Source organism: Homo sapiens, chromosome 18 (genome assembly GCF_000001405.40).
Source record: "Homo sapiens chromosome 18, GRCh38.p14 Primary Assembly".
In the NCBI taxonomy this organism is placed as follows: Eukaryota; Metazoa; Chordata; class Mammalia; order Primates; family Hominidae; genus Homo; species Homo sapiens.
The window spans coordinates 23,433,334-23,453,004 of NC_000018.10; the positions used below are offsets into that span (position 1 = coordinate 23,433,334).

General features: G+C 43.0%; 1 protein-coding gene across 23 annotated transcripts in view, besides 1 other annotated feature; it reads right to left on the reverse strand.

The window, feature by feature from the left end:
• The window catches only part of SLC35D4 (solute carrier family 35 member D4), a 199,440-nt gene extending 194,812 nt beyond the window's left edge, over nt 1-4,628 (reverse strand). For all 23 annotated transcript variants that reach the window (NR_148382.2, XR_001753290.3, NR_148384.2 and 20 more), the window contains exon 1: nt 4,448-4,628. Coding sequence is in view for 12 of the 23 variants with exons in the window: in XM_047437896.1 (XP_047293852.1) it covers nt 4,448-4,519 (72 nt within the window). In the remaining 11 variants the exon portion in view is untranslated. The remainder of the gene's footprint in view (nt 1-4,447) is intronic.
• Nucleotides 4,657-4,756: a silencer, noted in NCBI's record as "silent region_9356". NCBI's record gives its function as "represses an Ori minimal core promoter by ATAC-STARR-seq in GM12878 lymphoblastoid cells {active_cell/tissue: GM12878}" and the evidence as "EXISTENCE:reporter gene assay evidence [ECO:0000049][PMID:35858748]".

The window sequence follows — 19,671 nt, forward strand, 5'->3', positions numbered from 1 at the left end:
TTTCAGTGAATTGTCTACTTCTGCTGTTTACCCATTTATTTTCACTGAGGTTTTAGTATTTATTAATTTAATAAATTCTTTGTATTTTACAGATGCCAACCACTTGTCCAGAACAGAAATGAACTTTGCCTCTGAGCTGAAGGCTCAATTGCTATGAGGGGAAGAAGGACAGCTGGCTGCCTAGGGCCTGATTACAGCTGGAACCTCCCAAAGGATGGAGGAACACGTCATCAGCCAGGGCCAGCCCAGGCCACCAAGCCAGAGCTCAAGGGTGTGGTGCTTTCTCCTCCCTCCCTACCTAGGGCAGCTTCCTTTGACAGCACACTTGCTGCTTCAAACTTCTAACAAATATCGACCATTCTTTCAAACAATAGAAGGGGGTCAGAATGAGCTATATAAGATCTTTTTCAAAAGAATTTTCTTTCTACGAATAAATAGGAGAACTGCTGAAGGAGAAAATTACACTAAAAAAAATGGAAATAAACTGAAATGGAGGCTTCAAAAAACTAGAAGAGAGCATCCTCTACTTTAGACAAAAAAAAAACTTCACTAATTCAAAAGAAAATTAATGTGGCAGAGAAATTACATGCTCTCTGCCACATTAGAGTACAATATGCTCATAATAGAATATGCTCATAGTAGGATATGCTCATAGTAGAATGAATATGCTCATGGGGTGTCCACTGCAGATTTCTTCCCAGTTGGCCTCTACTTAGTCCAAGCCGACCCACCCAGCCTTGGTTACCAGAAGGGAGCATCACCATCCTGCTTGAGAAGATGAAACAATGGCCATAAAAGGTTCAAGCTTATAAGAGATATAAAGTTCCTCACCAGAGTCCCATAATGTACAACCTACCTGGCTCTCCCATCTCCTCTCCTCCACTCTCGAGCTCACCTCCTCCTCCCTCTGTAGACAATCTCCTTGGTCTCCCCTTCTTTCCTGCCTTCTGCTGTTCTTGACCTACTCTTTCCACTAGCTCTGACACTTCCCAACATCCCCAAGCCAAAGCATTCCAAACCATTGTATTTACATTCTCGGGACCCTTGGTCAGCTACGATTTCGATTATTCAGATTATATATTCCTGGGACCAAACAATTTGGTTTAATTTCATCTAATACATAGATGCATTATGCACATGGAAGGTATTTTGTCCTTTTATTAAATTTGTTGGCTGGGCACAGTGGCTTATACCTATAATCCCAGCATTTGGGAGGCCAAGGCAAGGTGGGCAGATCGCTTGAGCCCAGGAGTTAAAAACTAGCCTGAGTAACATGGCAAAACTTCGTCTCTATTAAAAAAAATACAAAAATTAGCCAGGCATGGTGGCGCACGCCTGTAGTCCCAGCTACTGAGGAGGCTGAGGTGTGTGGATCGCTTGAGCCTAGGAGGCAGAGGTTACAGTAAGCCATGATTGCACCACTGCACTCCAGCCTGGGTGACAGAAGACCCTGTCTCAAAAAACAAACAAACAAAAATTTATAAAAGGCCATGGGGCTCCAAAAAATTTTGAAAAAGTGCCACAAATGAAAATGTACATCCAGGCCAGGAGTGGTGGCTCATGACTGTAATCCCAGCACTTTGGGAGGCTGAGGTGGGCGGATCACCTGAGGTCAGGAGTTCAAGACCAGCCTGGCCAACATGACGAAACTCCATCTCTACTAAAAATATAAATATTAGCCCAGCATGGTGGTGCACACCTGTAGTCCCAGCTACTCGGGAGGCTGAGGCACTAGAATCGCTTGAACCTGGGAGGCGGAGGTTGTGGTGAGCCGAGATCACACCACTGCACTCCAGCCTGGGTGACAGAGTGAGCCTGTGTCTCAGAAAAAAAAAAATTAGAAAAGAAAAGAAAGAAAGAAAATGTACATCCAAAGAGGGGCATAAATTTCTATGAACTAAATGCTATTTGTCTGCTTTTTTTTTTGCTTAGATAAAATGTTTTTTATCTAACCAATGCCATGGCTCATGGGCTTTCATGACAGATGTGTTAATCTACCCCTTCTAGTGATTATGTGGAAATAAAAGAAAGGTTATTCTGTTTTAAAGTAAAATTTTATCATTATATCCATCAGGTTCGCTAGACAAATTAGAAGAGTTAAATTGAAAAAGCCAGAGATTTCACAAATTCACAAATTTCTGAATAGGTGCTACAAAAAACAAACAAACAAACAAACAAGCAAACCAAAAAAACTGCTTTTAGTTTAGCTACTTGTCCCATGAGAAGAAAACAAATCTGTTAAAAGTTACTAATTACTGTCACAGTATAAACAAAAGATTGTCCTTTTCTTCCAGAGTAACGACCGTTTATCTTATAGTTTGCCACAATGGCAAGCACTAGGCCACCTACCTTACAAACATCATTTCTTTTGTTGTTGTTCAGACGAAGTCTGGCTCTATTGCCCAGGCTGCAGGCGCAGTGGCGTGATCTCCACTCACTGCAACCTCCGCCTCCCTGGCTCAGGAGATTCTCATGCCTCAGCCTCCTGAGTAGCTGGGATTACAGGTGCCCACCACCATGCCTGGCTAATTTTTGTGTTTTTAGTAGAGATGGGGTTTCACCATATTTACCAGGCTGGTCTCAAACTCCTGATTTCAAGCGATCCGCTCACCTCAGCCTCCCAAAGTGCTCGGATTACAGGCCTGAGCCACTGTGCCTGGCCAACACCATTTCCATTAACTCTCACAACAACACTTTCTCTTTTTTTTTTTTTTTTTTTTGAAACTGAGTCTTGCTCTGTTGCCCAGGCTGGAATGCGATCTCGGCTCACTACAACCTCCGCCTCTCAGGTTCAAGTGATTCTCCTACCTCAGCCACCTGAGTAGCTGGAATTACAGGCGCCTGCCACCACGCCTGGCTAATTTTTGTATTTTCAGTAGAGACGGGGTTTCGCCATGCTGGCCAGGCTGGTTTCGAACTCCTGGCCTCAAACAATCCACCCGCCTCGGCCTCCCAAAGTGCTGGGATTACAGGCGTGAGCCACCACGCCCGGGCCACAACAACAATTTCAAGAGGACTCTTTGTCCCATCTTAAAGTTAAGAAACTTAGGTTTAGAAAGAGTAAGGTTCCAAACGCCAAGTAAGTGGAGCCAGGAAGTAAAACCCATCACTGCCTCCCAGGAAGGCTGCATTTATGGACCTTCAAAGGCTTATCGCCATAACTAAAAATCAACTGGAGGCCAGGCGCAGTGGCTCACACCTGTAATCTCAGCATTTTGGAAGGCTGAGGCATGCGGATCACCTGAGGTCAGGAGTTCGAGACCAGCCTGGACAACATGGTGAAACCCCGTCTCTACTAAAAATACAAAAATTAGCCCAGCGTGGTGGCGCACACCTGTAGCCCCAGCTACTCACGAGGCTGAGGCAGGAGAATCGCTTGAACCCAGGAGGCAGAGGTTGCAGTGAGCCGAGATCACGTCACTGCACTCCAGCCTGGGTGACAGAGCGAGACTCTATCTCAAAAAAATAAAAATAAAAATCAACTGGAGAAGGAAAGGGGGTTGGGGAGCATCCTCTGAATATATAAAGGCAGCCATTCATTGTAGGAGAGGAGGTAGAAGGAAATGCTGTTTGTCGATGGTTCTTTTCCAGAGAGGAAGAGAGGAGAAAGGAAGAGCGGGGAGCAGGTGGGGAGCCCGCAGTAAGACCCCACAGTGGGGCCAGGTGGTCTTGCACCCTGTATTCCCACTTTGGCTGGGGCCAGCCCAGAGTCCAGGCCAGCAGGTAATGCCCCAGCCATGCCCACTCGGTCCTATTGGATCCAACCTTTCCCTGCGTGGTACCAAACCTAAAGCCAGCTTCCCTCTCCTTGCAAAACAAAACCCCAAAGCTGGCACCACTGCTTCTCTGCCTCCTCACCAAAAGGTTTTCATGATGTCATGACATTAGTTTAAACCTAAAACTAAATGTATGTTTTATTTTAAAAAATAATAATTCCATGAAAAACTCCTGAAGTGCTTACAATGGAGACGTACAAAAAAATTGATTCGGGAATCAGCAGTGTGAGGGGGAGACGGCTTAATCTCTTCTATTTAAAGGCTTCTGGAACTTCACGGGGGCTCTGGGACAGGGGCGTGTTTAGAAAAAAGGCAGGATGTGTCAGATTTCTTCTGACTCTTCCTCCCCGGGGGAGCAGGAGCCAATTGCTTGCTTTCTCTTAAAACTAGTCCACACAGCCCCAAACCAAGTTCCCGGGAAATGGCCAGCCCAAAAATCCTGTTTCCCTGGAGATGTACCGTGCTTTACAGTGCAGGAAACGGGGACAGTACAGGCTGGCAAATCCTATTTCTGAAAGAGCATCCCACACACGGAGGAGGTTCGCTCTCCATCTCCATCGCCACCAGGAAGAATGAGGTAAAAAGCAGGAGGAGGCTCCGTTTGTCACGGGAAGATTCTCCGACTCAAACCTCCCACGTGCAATCGCTGCCTCCCGCGCCCGCCCCCTCACCTTGTTCGTGAGGTAAGAAGCCAGGTAGCAGGTACAAAAGGTGAGGCCGACCAGAGACCTCCTCACGCACATCTGTCAACTCGTCCCCTTCTCGGGGATCCACGGTGCCTGCCCAAATCCCCTGGCCGCCGCCCGACCCCCGCAGCAGCAGCAGCGGCAGCGGCAGCAGCCGCCCAGAGACGGCCACGTGGCTCCGAGCTCCGCCAATCAGCGCGGGGACCGCCCCCGGCGTCTGCCTTCTTAAAGGGGCCGCGCCCTCGAAGGACGGTCATTCTTCTTTTATTTTTTATTTTTTATTTTTTTATCTTCTTTTAAAGAGTAGAAAGTGGCAGAAGAGGAAAAAAGCATACCGCAGTTCACAATACCCCATCAGTGTTTAAAGAAAAATGTTCATCGCTATCTCTAAACTATGAGACCAAAATATTACCCGTGCTTCACTGAATTTTCCCAATTTTCTCCACTGAGTCTGTAGCGCTTTGGCAAATGACACAAAAAAGGTAACAGCAACAAATGTTCACTTAAAAGAGGGAAGGTGAAGGAAGAAGGAACTGGAATTGAGTATAGGTTTTTTGAGTTTTGTTTGTATTTAAAGTCATTCCATTCTCTTGACATTTCTATAAAATAAGAACCCTTTCCCAAGCACAGCCCCTATTCCTATTCCTATTCCTAGTCTATAGGGTGGAAAACTGGACTCATGAGGCTTCCGGCAAATGTTAGTAAACATGCAAGAAAACCTATTGATGGACTTGGACAATAGCAAAAAGTGCCAGTGTTCTCTGCCTGTAGAAACACACAGATTTTCAGAAACACCCACACACGGGGAAACCATCACTCTTAAGCCACAGCAAAAGTCCTCCTGGCTCTCGGTGCTGGAGCAGTGGATGGAAAACGACACACCAACCCTTATGTAATTTTTCTGTTTTTCAGAAGCATGCCTTGTTTCTCTCTGCTCCCTCCAGCATTGAGGGAGGGCTGACCTCGGCTTGTCCCCTTGAAGCCACTCCCCAGCCACCACTGTCTCATCGCAGTCCTTTGCCTCTGCTCACTTTTCCACAGGTCTCTTCCTGGGCCTGCTGGTTGGTCTGCAGAGGGGACCAACATAGAGATGGAGGTAGGCTGGTCACCCCTTCCCTCCCTTTTCTCCCACAGTCTCCTTCAAACCACTTGTACAGATGGGTATAGCTTTCTCTACCAAGACTGGATGATATGGTTTGGCTGTGTCCCCAAATCTCATCTTGAATGGTAGCTTTCATAATTCCCACATGTTATGGGAAGGACCTGGTGGCAGATAATTGAATCATGGGGGCAGTTTCCCCCATATTCGTCTCGTGGTAGTGAATAAGTCTCCCCAGAGCTGATGGTCTTATAAGGGGAAACCCCTTTCGCTTGGCTCTCATTTTTTCTCTCTTGCCTGCCACCATGTAAGACGTGCCTTTTGCCTTCCACCATGATTATGAAGCCTCCCCAGCCCCGTGGAACTGTGAGTCCATTAAACCTCTTTTTCTTTATAAATTACCAAGTCTCGGGTAAGTCTTTATCAGCAGCGTGAAAACAGACTAGTACACTGGGTTATTAAAAAGCAAAAATACAGAACAGGAAGAGAGGAGATGAAGCTTCAAATGCACTAAATTTTCCTCTCCATAGAAATAAAATCATGTAAGAAGTTAACACTTCACAAGGAGGCCCCTTCACAAGCCTACACTCGCTTCTCACCTATCACTCTTGCCCCAGAGTTTGTGTCTCCCTCTCCAAAACACCAATCTTTAACGACAATTTAAAAAGATCATTGTGGCCAGGCGCGGTGGCTCATGCCTGTAATCCCAGCACTTTGGGAGGCCGAGGCAAGCAGATCACGAGGTCAGGAGATCGAGACCAACGTGGCTAACATGGTGAAACCCCGTGTCTACTAAAAAAATACCAAAAAAATTAGCCGGCCGTGGTGGCGAGCGCCTGTAGTCCCAGGTACTCGGGATGCTGAGGCAGGCGAATGGCGTGAACTTGAGAGGCGGAGCTTGCAGTGAGCCAAGATCGTGCCACTGCACTCCAGCCTGGGAGACAAAGTGAGACTCCGTCTCAAAAAAAAAAAAAAAAAAAAAAAAATCATTGTAACAAGACTAATAGAGATTTATAAAAGAAAAATTAGCAAACCAATACCACACTCTTAACCACTCACATAACCAATACCAACAGGTTGGTGTATCCTTCTACACCTTCCTCCGTATTCACATATCAACATATACCCATTTGTAATTTGTTGCCTCACGAAAATGGATCTAGCTATTCACATTGCTAAACAACTTACTTTTACAACTACAGGTCAACACATAGAGATTTAATTTTTTAAAAAAGCTGCAGGCATTCCATAGTATGGATATACCGTAATGTATTCAACCATTCTGCTGTTGACATAATTATGTTGTTTCTAGTCTTTTGCTACAACAAACAAGGCTATAATAAACATCTTTGTACATATGTCTTTACCTCCTGCTGGTTTAATTTCTGTAGAATAGATTCCCAACAGGAGGATTGCAGAATCACAGCGTGTGTGTATTTTCTTAAATCATTACTTTCCACTTCCCTTTACTTTCTGCCTGTGGGAATCCTACTTACATCTAGCTCTTCTCAAGCACTTCAGGCATAACTTATTCTCCTCTCTTTTCCAGTACTACTTTTTAATACGTATTACAATAATTAGCATCTTACGTTTTTTCCATATTGTGGTTCATGAAGAAAATGATAGTATTTGTTCAGAGCCCCAGGCCAAATTGCTGACACTGCTTAGAGTCTGAAATGCTTCCAGGCCTCCCTGAAGTTGAGGAGGAACTCCTGTAACTCTTGCCCAGCCACACCAGTTAAGAAGCTGTATTAGGCTGAGTGTGGTGGCTCACACCTATAATCCCGGCACTTTGGGAGGCTGGGGCGGGTGGATCACCTGAGGTCAGGAGTTCAAGACCAGTCTGGCCAACATGGTGAAACCCCATCTCTACTAAAAATACAAAAAATTAGCTGGGCATGGTGGAGTGTGCCTGTAATCCCAACACTTTGGGAGGCCAAGGTGGGCAGATCACCTGAGGTCAGGAGTTCAAGACCAGCCTGGCCAACATGGCGAAACCCCATCTCTATTAAAAATACAAAAGATTAGCTGGGCATGGTGGGGTACGCCTGCAATCCCAGCTACTTGGGAGGCTGAGGCAGGAGAATCACTTGAACCTGGGAGCCGGAGGTTGCAGTGAGCCAAGATCACACCACTGCACTCCAGGCTGGGTGACAGAGCAATACCCTTTCCCCCAAAAAAATTAAAACAATAAAAAGAAGCTGTATTAGAGTCAGGGTGATGCATACCCTCTCTCCTCAGCCACATGGCAGCTCTTGGAGCACATAGGCGTCCCTATGCTTAGCTCAGTGCCTTACACAAACTAGGTACACTGATAAAGGCATGTTGAAGGAATCTATCAACTGAATGAATGCATCAATGAAGTGATGTAGGAATGGGATTTTAAAATGTCAAATAGCATGGAACACATATAATACCAAAAAGGCCTGGAATCCATAACACAAAAGACACCTACAGTCACCAGCTTGCCACATGGACATCAAACAACCTCACAGGAGACTGCCTTTAAAGGGATATTGCTATTAAGAGGATAACGACTATAGCAAATGAGTAACTTAAATTGCATTGGCAGAAACACTTTTGTTGGTAAACTTCTTTGCTAGTTGTTATTGCTTTGTTTCACTATTGTCCAGGCTTTGTACAGTGTTGCCTAAAAAGTAATGAGTATGCCAATTCAGTTCCTAATTAAAGGTATTCATACTATATTGAGTTTAATCACACTTCTGTTATATATTATTATCAAAGAAATCTAATCATTCTTTTCTTTTTTTTTCCTTTGAGGTGAGGTCTTGCTCTGTCACCCAGGCTGCAGTGCAGTGGCATAATCTTGGTTCACTGCAATCTCTGCCTCCCGGGCTCAAGCAATCCTCCCATCTCAGTCTCCTGAGTAGCCAGACTACAGGCACATGCTACCATGCCCAGCTAATTTTTGTATTTTTTGTAGAGATGAACTTTTGCCATGTCGCCCAGGCTGGTATTGAACTCCTGGACTCAAGCCGTCCACCTGCCTTGGCCTCCCAAAGTGCTGGGATTACAGGCGTGAGCCACCGTGCCCAGCCAAAATCTAATAGTTCTAATATAAGATTGTATTATTTAGCTATTTAATTTTATTTTAAAGTGTCAAAAAATAGGCAGAATGTGAAATTGGTTTCTGATCAAATGCAGAAATGCTAGTGGAGTGGTATGTATAAACGTATGTGATGGAATTATTAACATTGTTTCCAGACATGTGGGGTCGGGGGCGGATTCCAATGGCTTCAAAACAGAGAAGAAATTGGAAAGAAGCTGAGAGACTACATTAGTTAGGATATTTTCTAGTGTAAGTCAGAGAACTTCTAACACATATTGGCTCAAATGATAAGAATACATTGATTCATGTAACTGAAAAGTCCAGATAGATCAGGCTTCAAGTATAGTTTGGTCCAGGTATTCAACAATACCTGGGGTATCACCAAGAACTAGGGTGACCATGGATCCTGATTTGCCTAAAACACTTCTGATTTATGCTTTTGTCCTAGCATAATTATTAACAGCACCCCTTTCATTCCTACAAGTGTCTTGGTTTGGATGATAAATGGTCACCAACCAAGAACTTAGTTTCTTCCTACCCTTGGCTCTGCTTTCCAGGGCGCCTGGGTTCTCATGTGATTACTGCTGCCAGAGGAACCAGGGCTACCTGTGGCTCATTCAGCTTCAGAATGAGAATTTCTCTTCCCCCATTCAACAAACAACAAGCCTGTGGTTCCTTAAAATTAGACCATCTCAGGACAAATGCCTACCCGGAAACAATCACTGTATATAAGATAATTTAGACTTCTTTAGTTACATGATTAAAATTTACAAAATTATTTAGAGATTGTATAGCCAGCAAATAAAGAACTAATTATTTGTTTTCCCTAAGTAAACTGCTTATCAAACTATATTATCCAAGCAAACACCAGATATATCATCTCTACATCAAAGGTAAATAAACCTCTGGAAAAGATAAATACAGCTTAAATCAGATAAATAGCATAAAGCATAAATCAGATAAAGAGTTATTTTTCCTTGAAGTTACTTTAGGAAACTTATTTCAGAGCTAAAGTGTCCTTACAAAGAAATTTTTTGCCCAGTAGAATTTTCTTGAAATCAATGGTTCGTATTTACCTGAGATTTCTCTGAGCTCTTTCAGTAGAAGAGCAAATTCAATTCAGGCCTTATTATTTCCCAATCATTGCTTAACTTGTTTTCTTTTACAAATTTTGCTTATCAAGCGGGAACAACCAGAACAGTGAGTCATGAAAATTGATACTGACATTAGCAGTAAAAGTGCTGAAAGATATTGCCAGAGGTATTGATTTTTCCAAAGCTGTATTATTCTGTTCCAGAAACAAAGACTGAATTAAAACAAAATCAGCAGATTTTACATTGACGAACCATAGCTGTTAATGTGAGATTGAGGTAAACTTGCTATGCACATGAAAATATGTACTTGTATTATTAATTGAGATGTTTGAGACCAAAGGGGCATTATCATTAATTACTTTATTTATTTATTTATTTATTTATTTATTGAGATGGAGTCTTACTCTATCGTCAGGCTGGAGTGCAATGGCACGATCTTGGCTCACTGCAACCTCTGCCTCCCGGGTTCAAGCGATTCTCCTGCCTCAGCCTCCCGAGTAGCTGGGACTACAGGCGCACACCACCACACCCAGCTAATTTTTTTTGTATTTTTTAATAGGGACGGGGTTTCACCATGTTGGCCAGGATGGTCTTGATCTCTCTTTTTTTTTTTTTTTTTGAGACGGAGTCTCGCTCTGTCGCCCAGGCTGGAGTGCAGTGGCGCAATCTCGGCTCACTGCGAGCTCTGCCTCCCGGGTTCACAGCATTCTCCTGCTTCAGCCTGCCGAGTAGCTGGGACTACAGGCGCCCGCCATCATGCCCGGCTAATTTTTTTGTAATTTTTTTTTTTAGTAGAGACGAGGTTTCACCGTGTTAGCCAGGATGGTCTCGATCTCCTAACCTGGAGATCCGCCCGCCTCGGCCTCCCAAAGTGCTGGAATTACAGGCGTGAGCCACCGCGCCCCGCCCATTATTTTTTTTGATAATATATTCATAAATGCTCAATAAATGTTTATTGAATGAAAAAAGAGGGAAGCTTGGATAAAACAATGGCTTGTGGGATTTTTCCCCCACAAATCTTTTTTTAATAATAAATTTTTATGATAGCACACATGCAGAATTCTCAAAAGATGACAGAAGCAGTAGCACACATTTTGAAACTCCTTAAATCACCCTTAAAAAACAGAGAGAATATAAATATCTCCTATGAATATAGATGCAAAAATCTTCAACCAAACACTAGCAGAAGGAATTCAGCAACATGAAAAAGAATATACAGCTTGACCAAATGGGACTTATCCCAGGAATGCAACGTTGGTTTAACCTACAAAACCAGTTCATATAATACACAATATCTAATAAAGGATAATTTATTATATTGATATAATAAAGGATACCTAGACATAGATAAGACATTTGACAAGATTCAACACCCCTTCGCAATAAAAACATTCAGAAGCTATGGCCGGGCGTGGTGGCTCACGCGTGTAATCCCAGCACTTTGGGAGGCCGAGGCAGGTGGATCACGAGGTCAGGAGATGGAGACCATCCTGGCTAACACAGTGAAACCCCGTCTCTACTAAAAATACAAAAAAAAAAAAAATTAGCAGGGCGTGGTGGCGGGCGCCTGTAGTTACAGCTACTCGGGAGGCTGAGGCAGGAGAATGGTGTGAACCCAGGAGGCGGAGCTTGCAGTGAGCCGAGATCGCGCCACTGCACTCCAGCCTGGGCGACAGAGCTAGACTCCACCTCGAACAAACGAACAAACAAACAAAACATTCAGAAGCTAGAAATAGGAGGGAACTTCCTCAATATCATAAAAGGTTTCTATAAAAACCCACACCCTAACATCATAGCTAATGATGAAAGAGTGCTTTCCTCACTAAGATCAGAAGCCAGACTAGAATAACCAACTTGTCACTTCTATTCAACACTGTGTTGGAGGCTCTAGCCAGGACAACAAGGCAAGGAAAAATAAATAAATAAAAGGCATCCAGATTTCAAAAGAAGAAATAAAACTATCTCTAATACAGAAGACAAAATTTCACATATAGAAAACCATAAAGAATACACTAAAAAACTGTTAGAACTAGTAGATGAATCCAGCAAGTTGCAGAATGCAAGATCAATATACAAAAATCAATTATATTTCTATACACTTGCAATGCACGATCTGAAAATAAAACTAAGGAATAAGTTTTATTTAAAATACCATAAAAAGCATAATACTTATGAAAAATTGGCAAAATAAATGAAAAATTTATTATCTGAAAACTACAAAATATTTTTGAAGGGCATTAAAGAAGACCAATTGAATTAATTAATAAATAAATAAAATTAAGCAGAAAAATATCCCATGCTTATGGATTGGAAAACTGGATATTATTAAGATGGCAATAATCCCCAAGTTGATTCTACAGATTCAATACAGTCCCAATCAGAATTCTACCTGGTTTATTTTTCTCTGCAGAAATTAACTAACTGATCCTAAAATTCATATGGAAATTAAAGAGACCCTTTATAGCTAAAAATCTTAAAAGAGAAGAACAAAGTTAAAGGATTCATAGTTCTTAATTTCAGAGATTATTACAAAGCTACACTCAAGACAGTATGGTACTGGCATAAGGATACACATACAGACCAATGGAATAGAACTGAAACCCCTCACGTTTATGGCCAGTTGATTTTTGACAAGACAATCCGATGAACAAAGAACAGCACTTTTTAACAAATGATGCTAGAAGCCAGGCACAGTGCTTCACACCTGTAATCCCAGGACTTTGGGAGGCCAAGGCAGGAGGATCACTTGAGCCTAGGAGTTTGAGACCAGCCTTGGCAACATGGTGAAATCCCGTTTCTACAAAATATAAAAATTAAAAAAGTAGCCAGGTGTGGTGGCGCACACCTCCCAGTTACTCAGGAGGCTGAAGCAAGAGAATTGCTTGAGCCTAGGAGGTCAAGGCTGTTGTGAGCCATGATTGTACCACTGCACTCCAACCTGGGTGACACAGCAAGACTCTGTCTCAAAATAAATAAATAAAAATAATTTTCCTTTTGTTTATCCCTTATAGTCGATCATTATATATCAATTTTAAAAGATACTATGCAGTAAAGGGAGCAAAACAAAATCTTTGTTGTTAAAAATGGCAATGGGTTAGATAGGCTTAAGAACTGCTGAGTCCCAGCTGACCCTAACTGAACCATATCTGTAACATTTCATCTAATAATCTTATGAAACTACTCAGCAGTCACTAAATATACTATGGGCTTTCCTGCCCCTATGCCTAGTCTTAGGCTGTTCTTCCACCCAAACTAGCGTTACAGCTTCTCCCCAGCGTTCATGACCTACTTTGGTGCCACGCAGCCTTTCCAGATCTCACTACCCCACAATGAATCCTGAAATGTTTGTGTCTATAGCTGTCATTTGGAAATAAATCATGCACTCTTTGAGATAGAGGTGTTGTATTGTTATTTAATGTTATTGTGTGACTATTGTTATCTCTCCAAGTGCAATCTCACAGTTCTTTGTTTTTCCCAAAGGACTGGGGGCATCCTAGGTAGTTAATAGATAGTTGTTCATTGCCTGAAACAGCTATTTGCAGAATAGACTTATTTCAATATTAAAAACTAAAGAGCCTTATTTCTGTTCTCTTTAGAGACCAAAGAATCTGCTGATTCATGTGTTTAGACAGGGCAGATTCTCAAATAGTTTTGTTCCTGCTGAGAACCAGTGAGTTTGGCTGGGTGCGGTGGGTTACGCCTGTCATCCAAGTACTTTGGGAGGTCGAGGCAGGCAGATCACGAGGTCAGGAGATCGAGACCATCCTGGCTAACACGGTGAAACCCCATCTCTACTAAAAAAAAAAATACAAAAAAATTAGCTGGGTGTGGTGGCGGGTGCCTGTAGTCCCAGCTACTCGGGAGGCTGAGGCAGGAGAATGGCGTGAACCTGGGAGGTGGAGCTTGCAGTGAGCCGAGATTGCGCCACAGCACTCCTGCCTGGGCGACAGAGCGAGACTCCGTCTCAAAAAAAAAAAAAAAAAAAAAAAAGACAGAGAACCAGCAGTGAGTTCATCAGCAGAGAAGACAGGGAGTAGGAGCTGGAGCCAAAGCCTCTAAACATTGCTTACTCTGCCTGACAGCAAAATGGCCGTTTCCCCATTCAAGGACTCACTATTAAATCACATAGGACTAAATGCTGTTATTGGTAAACCACATTTTTCCTATTAGCAACATTTGTAAATGTAGAATTTGCAAATATTGTGCATGTCCTTCTATCTTCCTTTTTAAGGAGTACATAGTTGGTGGCATCAGGTATGTATCTTAACTGTCAACAAGCAACCATTAAAATTGTTAAACCACAAAACCCATGGGAACTCATAAACCATTAAACCCATAACAAGGGATTAATCAACTTCCCTTGTCCTTACAGCCTGCCATCCCTACTTTCTTGCCTCATTTAAAACCTTAGGGTCTTCTGGAACTATTCATTTCCCTCCAGGGCAGGGCAGCATTCTTCACTCTCCCCAGCACAGCTCCCAAAATGTTATTCCTGGCCCCTCAGGTTGTCAGGTCTCTCCAGTCTCTAACCATTCCATTATCATGACCTCTAAATTTCCTTAGCATCATCTACCAATCTCTTGGGTACAATCTGCACATTGTCTAAGACTGTGGCACCGGTACATTCTCTTCCAATCTACCTCAAGTCCTGCCATCTTGCTGGGTGGTTTTAGGGTCCACGCATATCACCCATCCAATACACTGACATTTTTATCCTGATCCGTTAAGCTTCCCAACCTCAACCTCACCACCTCTTCATTATGGCTTCCTCTGACCTCAGAATTGCCTGCATCTTCTCTACCTCTAAAATCCTTCAGTAGCCCACTATCTTTGTTACTTTTTTTAAAAATTGAGGTGAAATTCACATAACATAAAATTAACATTTTAAAGTGTAAAATTCAGCATTTAGCAGATTCACAATGGTGTGCTGCCACCACCTATATCACCCCTAAAGAAAACCCCATTAAGCTTACCCTTGAAGCAGTCACTCCCCATTATCCCCTCCCCACTCATTCCCTAGAAACCCCCGATCTGCTTTCCATCATTATAAATTCACCTATTCTGGATTTTTCATATAAATGAATTCATAGAATATGTGACCTTTATGTCTGACTTCTTTCACTCAGCATCTTGTTTTTTTCAATGCTCATACACATTGTAGCATATATCAGTACTTCAGTCCTGTATTAGCTTGCTAGGACTACCTTAACACAATACCATAGACTGGGTGATTATACAACAAACATTTATTTTCTCATAGTACTAGAGGCTGGAAGTTAAAGATCAAGGTACTGGCAGGGTTGGTTTCCTCTGAGGCCTCTCTTCTTGGCCCACACATGGCTGCCCTCTGGTTGCCTCTTCCCATGGTCATCTCTGTGTGCATGAGTGTGGTGCTAGGGTTTCTTCCTCTTTTTATAAGGCCACTAGTCATACTAGGTTAGGGCCCCATCCTGATGGCCTTATTTTAACATAATCACCTGTTCAAAGACCTTATCTCCAAGTATGGTTACATTCTGAGGTACTGGGAGTTAGGACTTCAAATACGAATTTTGTGGGGATACAAAATCAACCCATAACTTTTCCTTTTTATGACTGAATAATATTCTATTATTTGTATATATCATATTTTGTCCATTTATCCACTAATGGACATTTGGTTTGCTTCTACCTTTTGGCTACCATGAATAATGGTTTTGTAAACATTCACATACAAGTATTTGGTTATCTGTTTTCAGTTCTTTGGGGTATATACCTACGAATAGGATTTCTGGGTTATATGATAATTCTATGTTTAACTTTTTGAGGAACTGCCAAACTGTTTTCTATAGCAGAGCACCATTTCACATTCCAAGCCATGTATGAGGGTTCCCATTTCTCCACATCCACACCAACTTAATTCTTTAGCTCCAGAAAGTGTCCTTTCTCCCACTGAATTTCTTTACTCCAATGCATCAAAATCTCCTGTCCCTAACTCCCTGCATTCTTCCTAACAACCAGCTCCTTTTAAAGTTATGTCCAGCCAGGTACAGTGGCTCATGCCTGTAATCCCAGAATTTTGGGAGGCCGAGGTGGGTGGATCACCTGAGGTCAGGAGTTCCAGACAAGCCTGGCCAACATGGTGAAACCCCACCTCTACTAAAAATACAAAAATTAGCAGGGCGTGGTGGCACGCACCTGTAATCCCAGCTACTCAGGAGGCTGAGGCAAGAGAATCACTTGAACCTGGGAGGCGGAGGTTGCAGTGAGCCAAGATCACACCATCGCACTCCAGCATGGGCAACAGAGTAAGACTCCGTCTCAAAAATAAAAAAACAAAAAACAAAAAATTATCTCCACAGCCATTATAAACCACATAATTCATTGTGTGTCACATCAGGCTCTCCAACTTTCAGCTTTCTGATATAGGAATAACAATATCCCCCAGAATTGTTTTAAGAATCGGCCAGGAGTGGTGGCTCATGCCTGTAATCCCAGCACTTCGGGAGGCCAAGGTAAGAGGATCACTTCAGCCCAGGAGTTCAAGACCAGCCTGAGCAACATAGCGAGACCCCCTCTCTACTAAAAATTTAAAAATCAGCCAGGCTTGGTGGCACGTCTCTTTAGTTCCAGCTATTCAGGAGGCTAAGGTGGGAGGATCACCTGAGCCCATGAGTTCCAGGTTGCAGTGAGCTGTCACTCAGCCTGGGTGACAGAGGGAGACACTATCATGAAAACAAAGCAAAACAAAAAATAGAACCTAATGAGCTCATGTATTTGAAATGTTTAAACACGTAGTAAGCATTCAATAAACGGTAGTTATGATGGCTACTGAATTTTTGTTTTCAGCCCCTATTTTTTCTCATAAACTCTAGACTGCCTATTGGCCACTTTCAAACAGCATCCATACAGTTTGTTCATTTGCAAATATTTATTGAGTGCCTACTATATGCCAGCCACCATGCTAGGCACTGGTTTACAATAGTGAACACAATTCCTGCTCTCCTGGGAGGAAAAAAAAAACAGATAGGCAAATAAATGTGTATTTACAGTTTTACAGTTTTTGATCGCTGCTGTGTTCCATAAACAACCTAATTGTGACATGTATAACATAAAATTAATTCTATCATCTTCCCTTCAAACCAGATCTCCAGGCACCGCCTTCCACCCAGTCAACCAATCAAAAAACGGAAGTTATCTCAGACTTCCTGACCTCCATTGAGATGCCTGCCTCCCATCCTGCCCTGCCCCCATCTGGCACTGCCAACATCGGCACCAAAACCCAAGAATCAAATCTTGGAAATAAGAGAAATTGGATCAGAGTTGGAATAAAGAAAGAAAAAGTTTCTGAGACTTGAAATTAGACTGAAGGTATTAACACATTTAAAGACTGTGTCAGCCGGGCGCAGTGGCTCACGTCTGTAATTCCAGAACTTTGAGAGGCCGAGGCAGGCGGATCACCTGAGGTCAGGAATTAGAGACTAGCCTGGCCAACATGGCAAAACCCCGTCTCTTAATAAAAAATACAAAAAAATAAAAATAAAAATTAGCCGGGTGTGGTGGCAGGCGCCTGTAATCCCAGCTACTCGGGAGGCTGAGGCCAGAGAATCGCTTGAACCTGGGAGTCAGAGGTTGCAGTGAGCCGAGATTGCGCCACTGCACTCCAACCTGGGCTACAGAGTGACACTGTGTCCAAAAATAAAAAAATAAAAAATAATAATAATAATAATTAGCTGGGTGTGGTGGCACGCGCCTGTAGTCCCAGCTACTCGGGAGGCTGAGGCAGGAGAATTGCTGCTTGAATCCGGGAGGGGGATGTTGCAGTGAGCCGAGATCATGCCACTGCACTCCAGCCTGGGCGACAGAGTGAGACTCCGTCTCAAAAAACAAAAACAAAAACAAAAAAAACTCTTGGACCTGAACCTTTCCTGCATTCTCCAACCCATTCTCTCACTTTGTCCCTGTTGAACCCTACATCTGACCATGCCGAACCACCTGGCCTTTTCCGAGGTACCCTGAAGACTGCTCCCCTTGTACAGAAGGCCCTGCTCCACCTTACAGCCCATCTCACCAATGCCTGGTCATCTTGTGAGGCTGAGATCAAGTGTCATCTACTCTAAGGAATCCTTCCTGACATCTGGGTAGATCTGACCTCTTCCGGCCGGGCGCGATGGCTCACGCCTGTGATCCCAGCACCTTGGGAGGCCAATGCGGGCGGATCACGAGGTCAGGAGTTCGAAACCAGCCTGGCCAACATGGTGAAACACCGTCTCTACTAAAAATACAAAAATTAGCCGGGTGCAGTGGCACGCGCCTATAGTCCCACCTACTCGGAAGGCTGAGGCAGAAGAATCGCTTGAACCCACGAGGTGGAGGTTGCAGTGAGCCTTGATCATGCCACTGCACTCCAGCCTGGCGACAGAGCGAGACTCTATTTCAAAAGAAAAGAAAAGAAAAGAAAAGAAAAGAAAAGAAAAGAAAAGAAAAAAGTTAAAAAAAAAAAGATCTGACCTCTCTCCTTTACATTCAAAACAAAACAAAAAGAATATTCAGATTCTTAGTTTTATTTTCGACTTCCTGTCCTTTTCTGATATATCCCCCAAATAGTCTCTCACTGGCACATTTTTGTCATACACTGCATCTCAGCCTTAGCCTTTCTTTCTGGTCTGGTCTTTTCCTTTTAATCTTTTTTCTCTTTTTTTTTTTTGAGACGGAGTCTCACTCTGTTGCCCAGGTTGGAGTGCAGTGGCATGATCTTGGCTAATTGCAACCTCGGCCTCCCGAGGTCAAGTGATTCTCCTGCCTCAGCCTCCTGAGTAGCTGGGATTACAAGTGCGTGTCACCACACCCGGCTGCTTTTTGTATTTTTAGTAGAGATGGGGTTTCACCGTGTTGGCCAGGCTGGTCTCAAACTCCTGACCTCAGGTGATCCACCCACCTTGGCCTCCCAAAGTGCTGGGATTACAGGCATGACCCACCACGCCCAGCCCTCTCCTATTTTTTCCTAGCCAGAATTGAGAAGTCCATTTCTATTAATAGTTACACCCATTTTTCTTAAACTATTTATCGTCCAATTATAATCCTTTGAACACTAGGAAGGAACACAATTTCCACACACATTCACATATATAGGCAACATTTGCCAAGCACACATCTGCACCCTATCATATGGCTATAGTTTGCCTTATTGCAGTAGGGGTATTTGGAGGATTCAGAACATGTTTTCACCTGGAATGGAAAGGAGGCAAAGATTGTGTGCTAATGGAAATCATTAAGATCAGTAACCCAGGGCTCTCAAGTATGGACAGTTAGAGATACTGACTCGGAACTGAGATTTAGGGAAAACAGTTATTCAGTACCTATTTCTAGAATGTTTGAATATACAACATATAGACAGTGTATAGTTTATAGTCAAAATATAATGTACAGCCAGTCCAGTTCCCAAACCGATTGTCTGGGTTCACCCCTTATTAGCTTTGCCACTTGTTATCTGTGTGACCTCAACTAAATTACTTTACCTCTCTGTGCCTCAGTTTCAATATCAGTAAAATAGAGATAATGACAGAATTTAGCTCTCACGGTAATTTTGAGGACTAAAAAGTTAATGAAAGATTTGAACAGTGCATTGATATACTAAGTGAAATGCAATGTTTAGTTATCTTTTATCTGGTCATTTTATTAGAATCTCTACAAAATACAGAAACAAAAGTTTTATTATGCAGTCTTATTTTTGTTCACTGTTACGTAACACATTTTACACATTTTCCGCATTCCACGCCCCGCCCTTCAACAACAACCACCACAAACTCCGACCGTCCTTTCCAGGCCCTTTCCCTCTATAAACCTGCCGTTTTCTGTCTCCCAAGTCATCCCAGTTTAGAACTGCTCCAGGAAATAATGAATGAACAGAGAGAGCCTAGTTTGTTTATTTATTTACAATCCACTAGTCTAATCTAGTTTAGATCCAGCG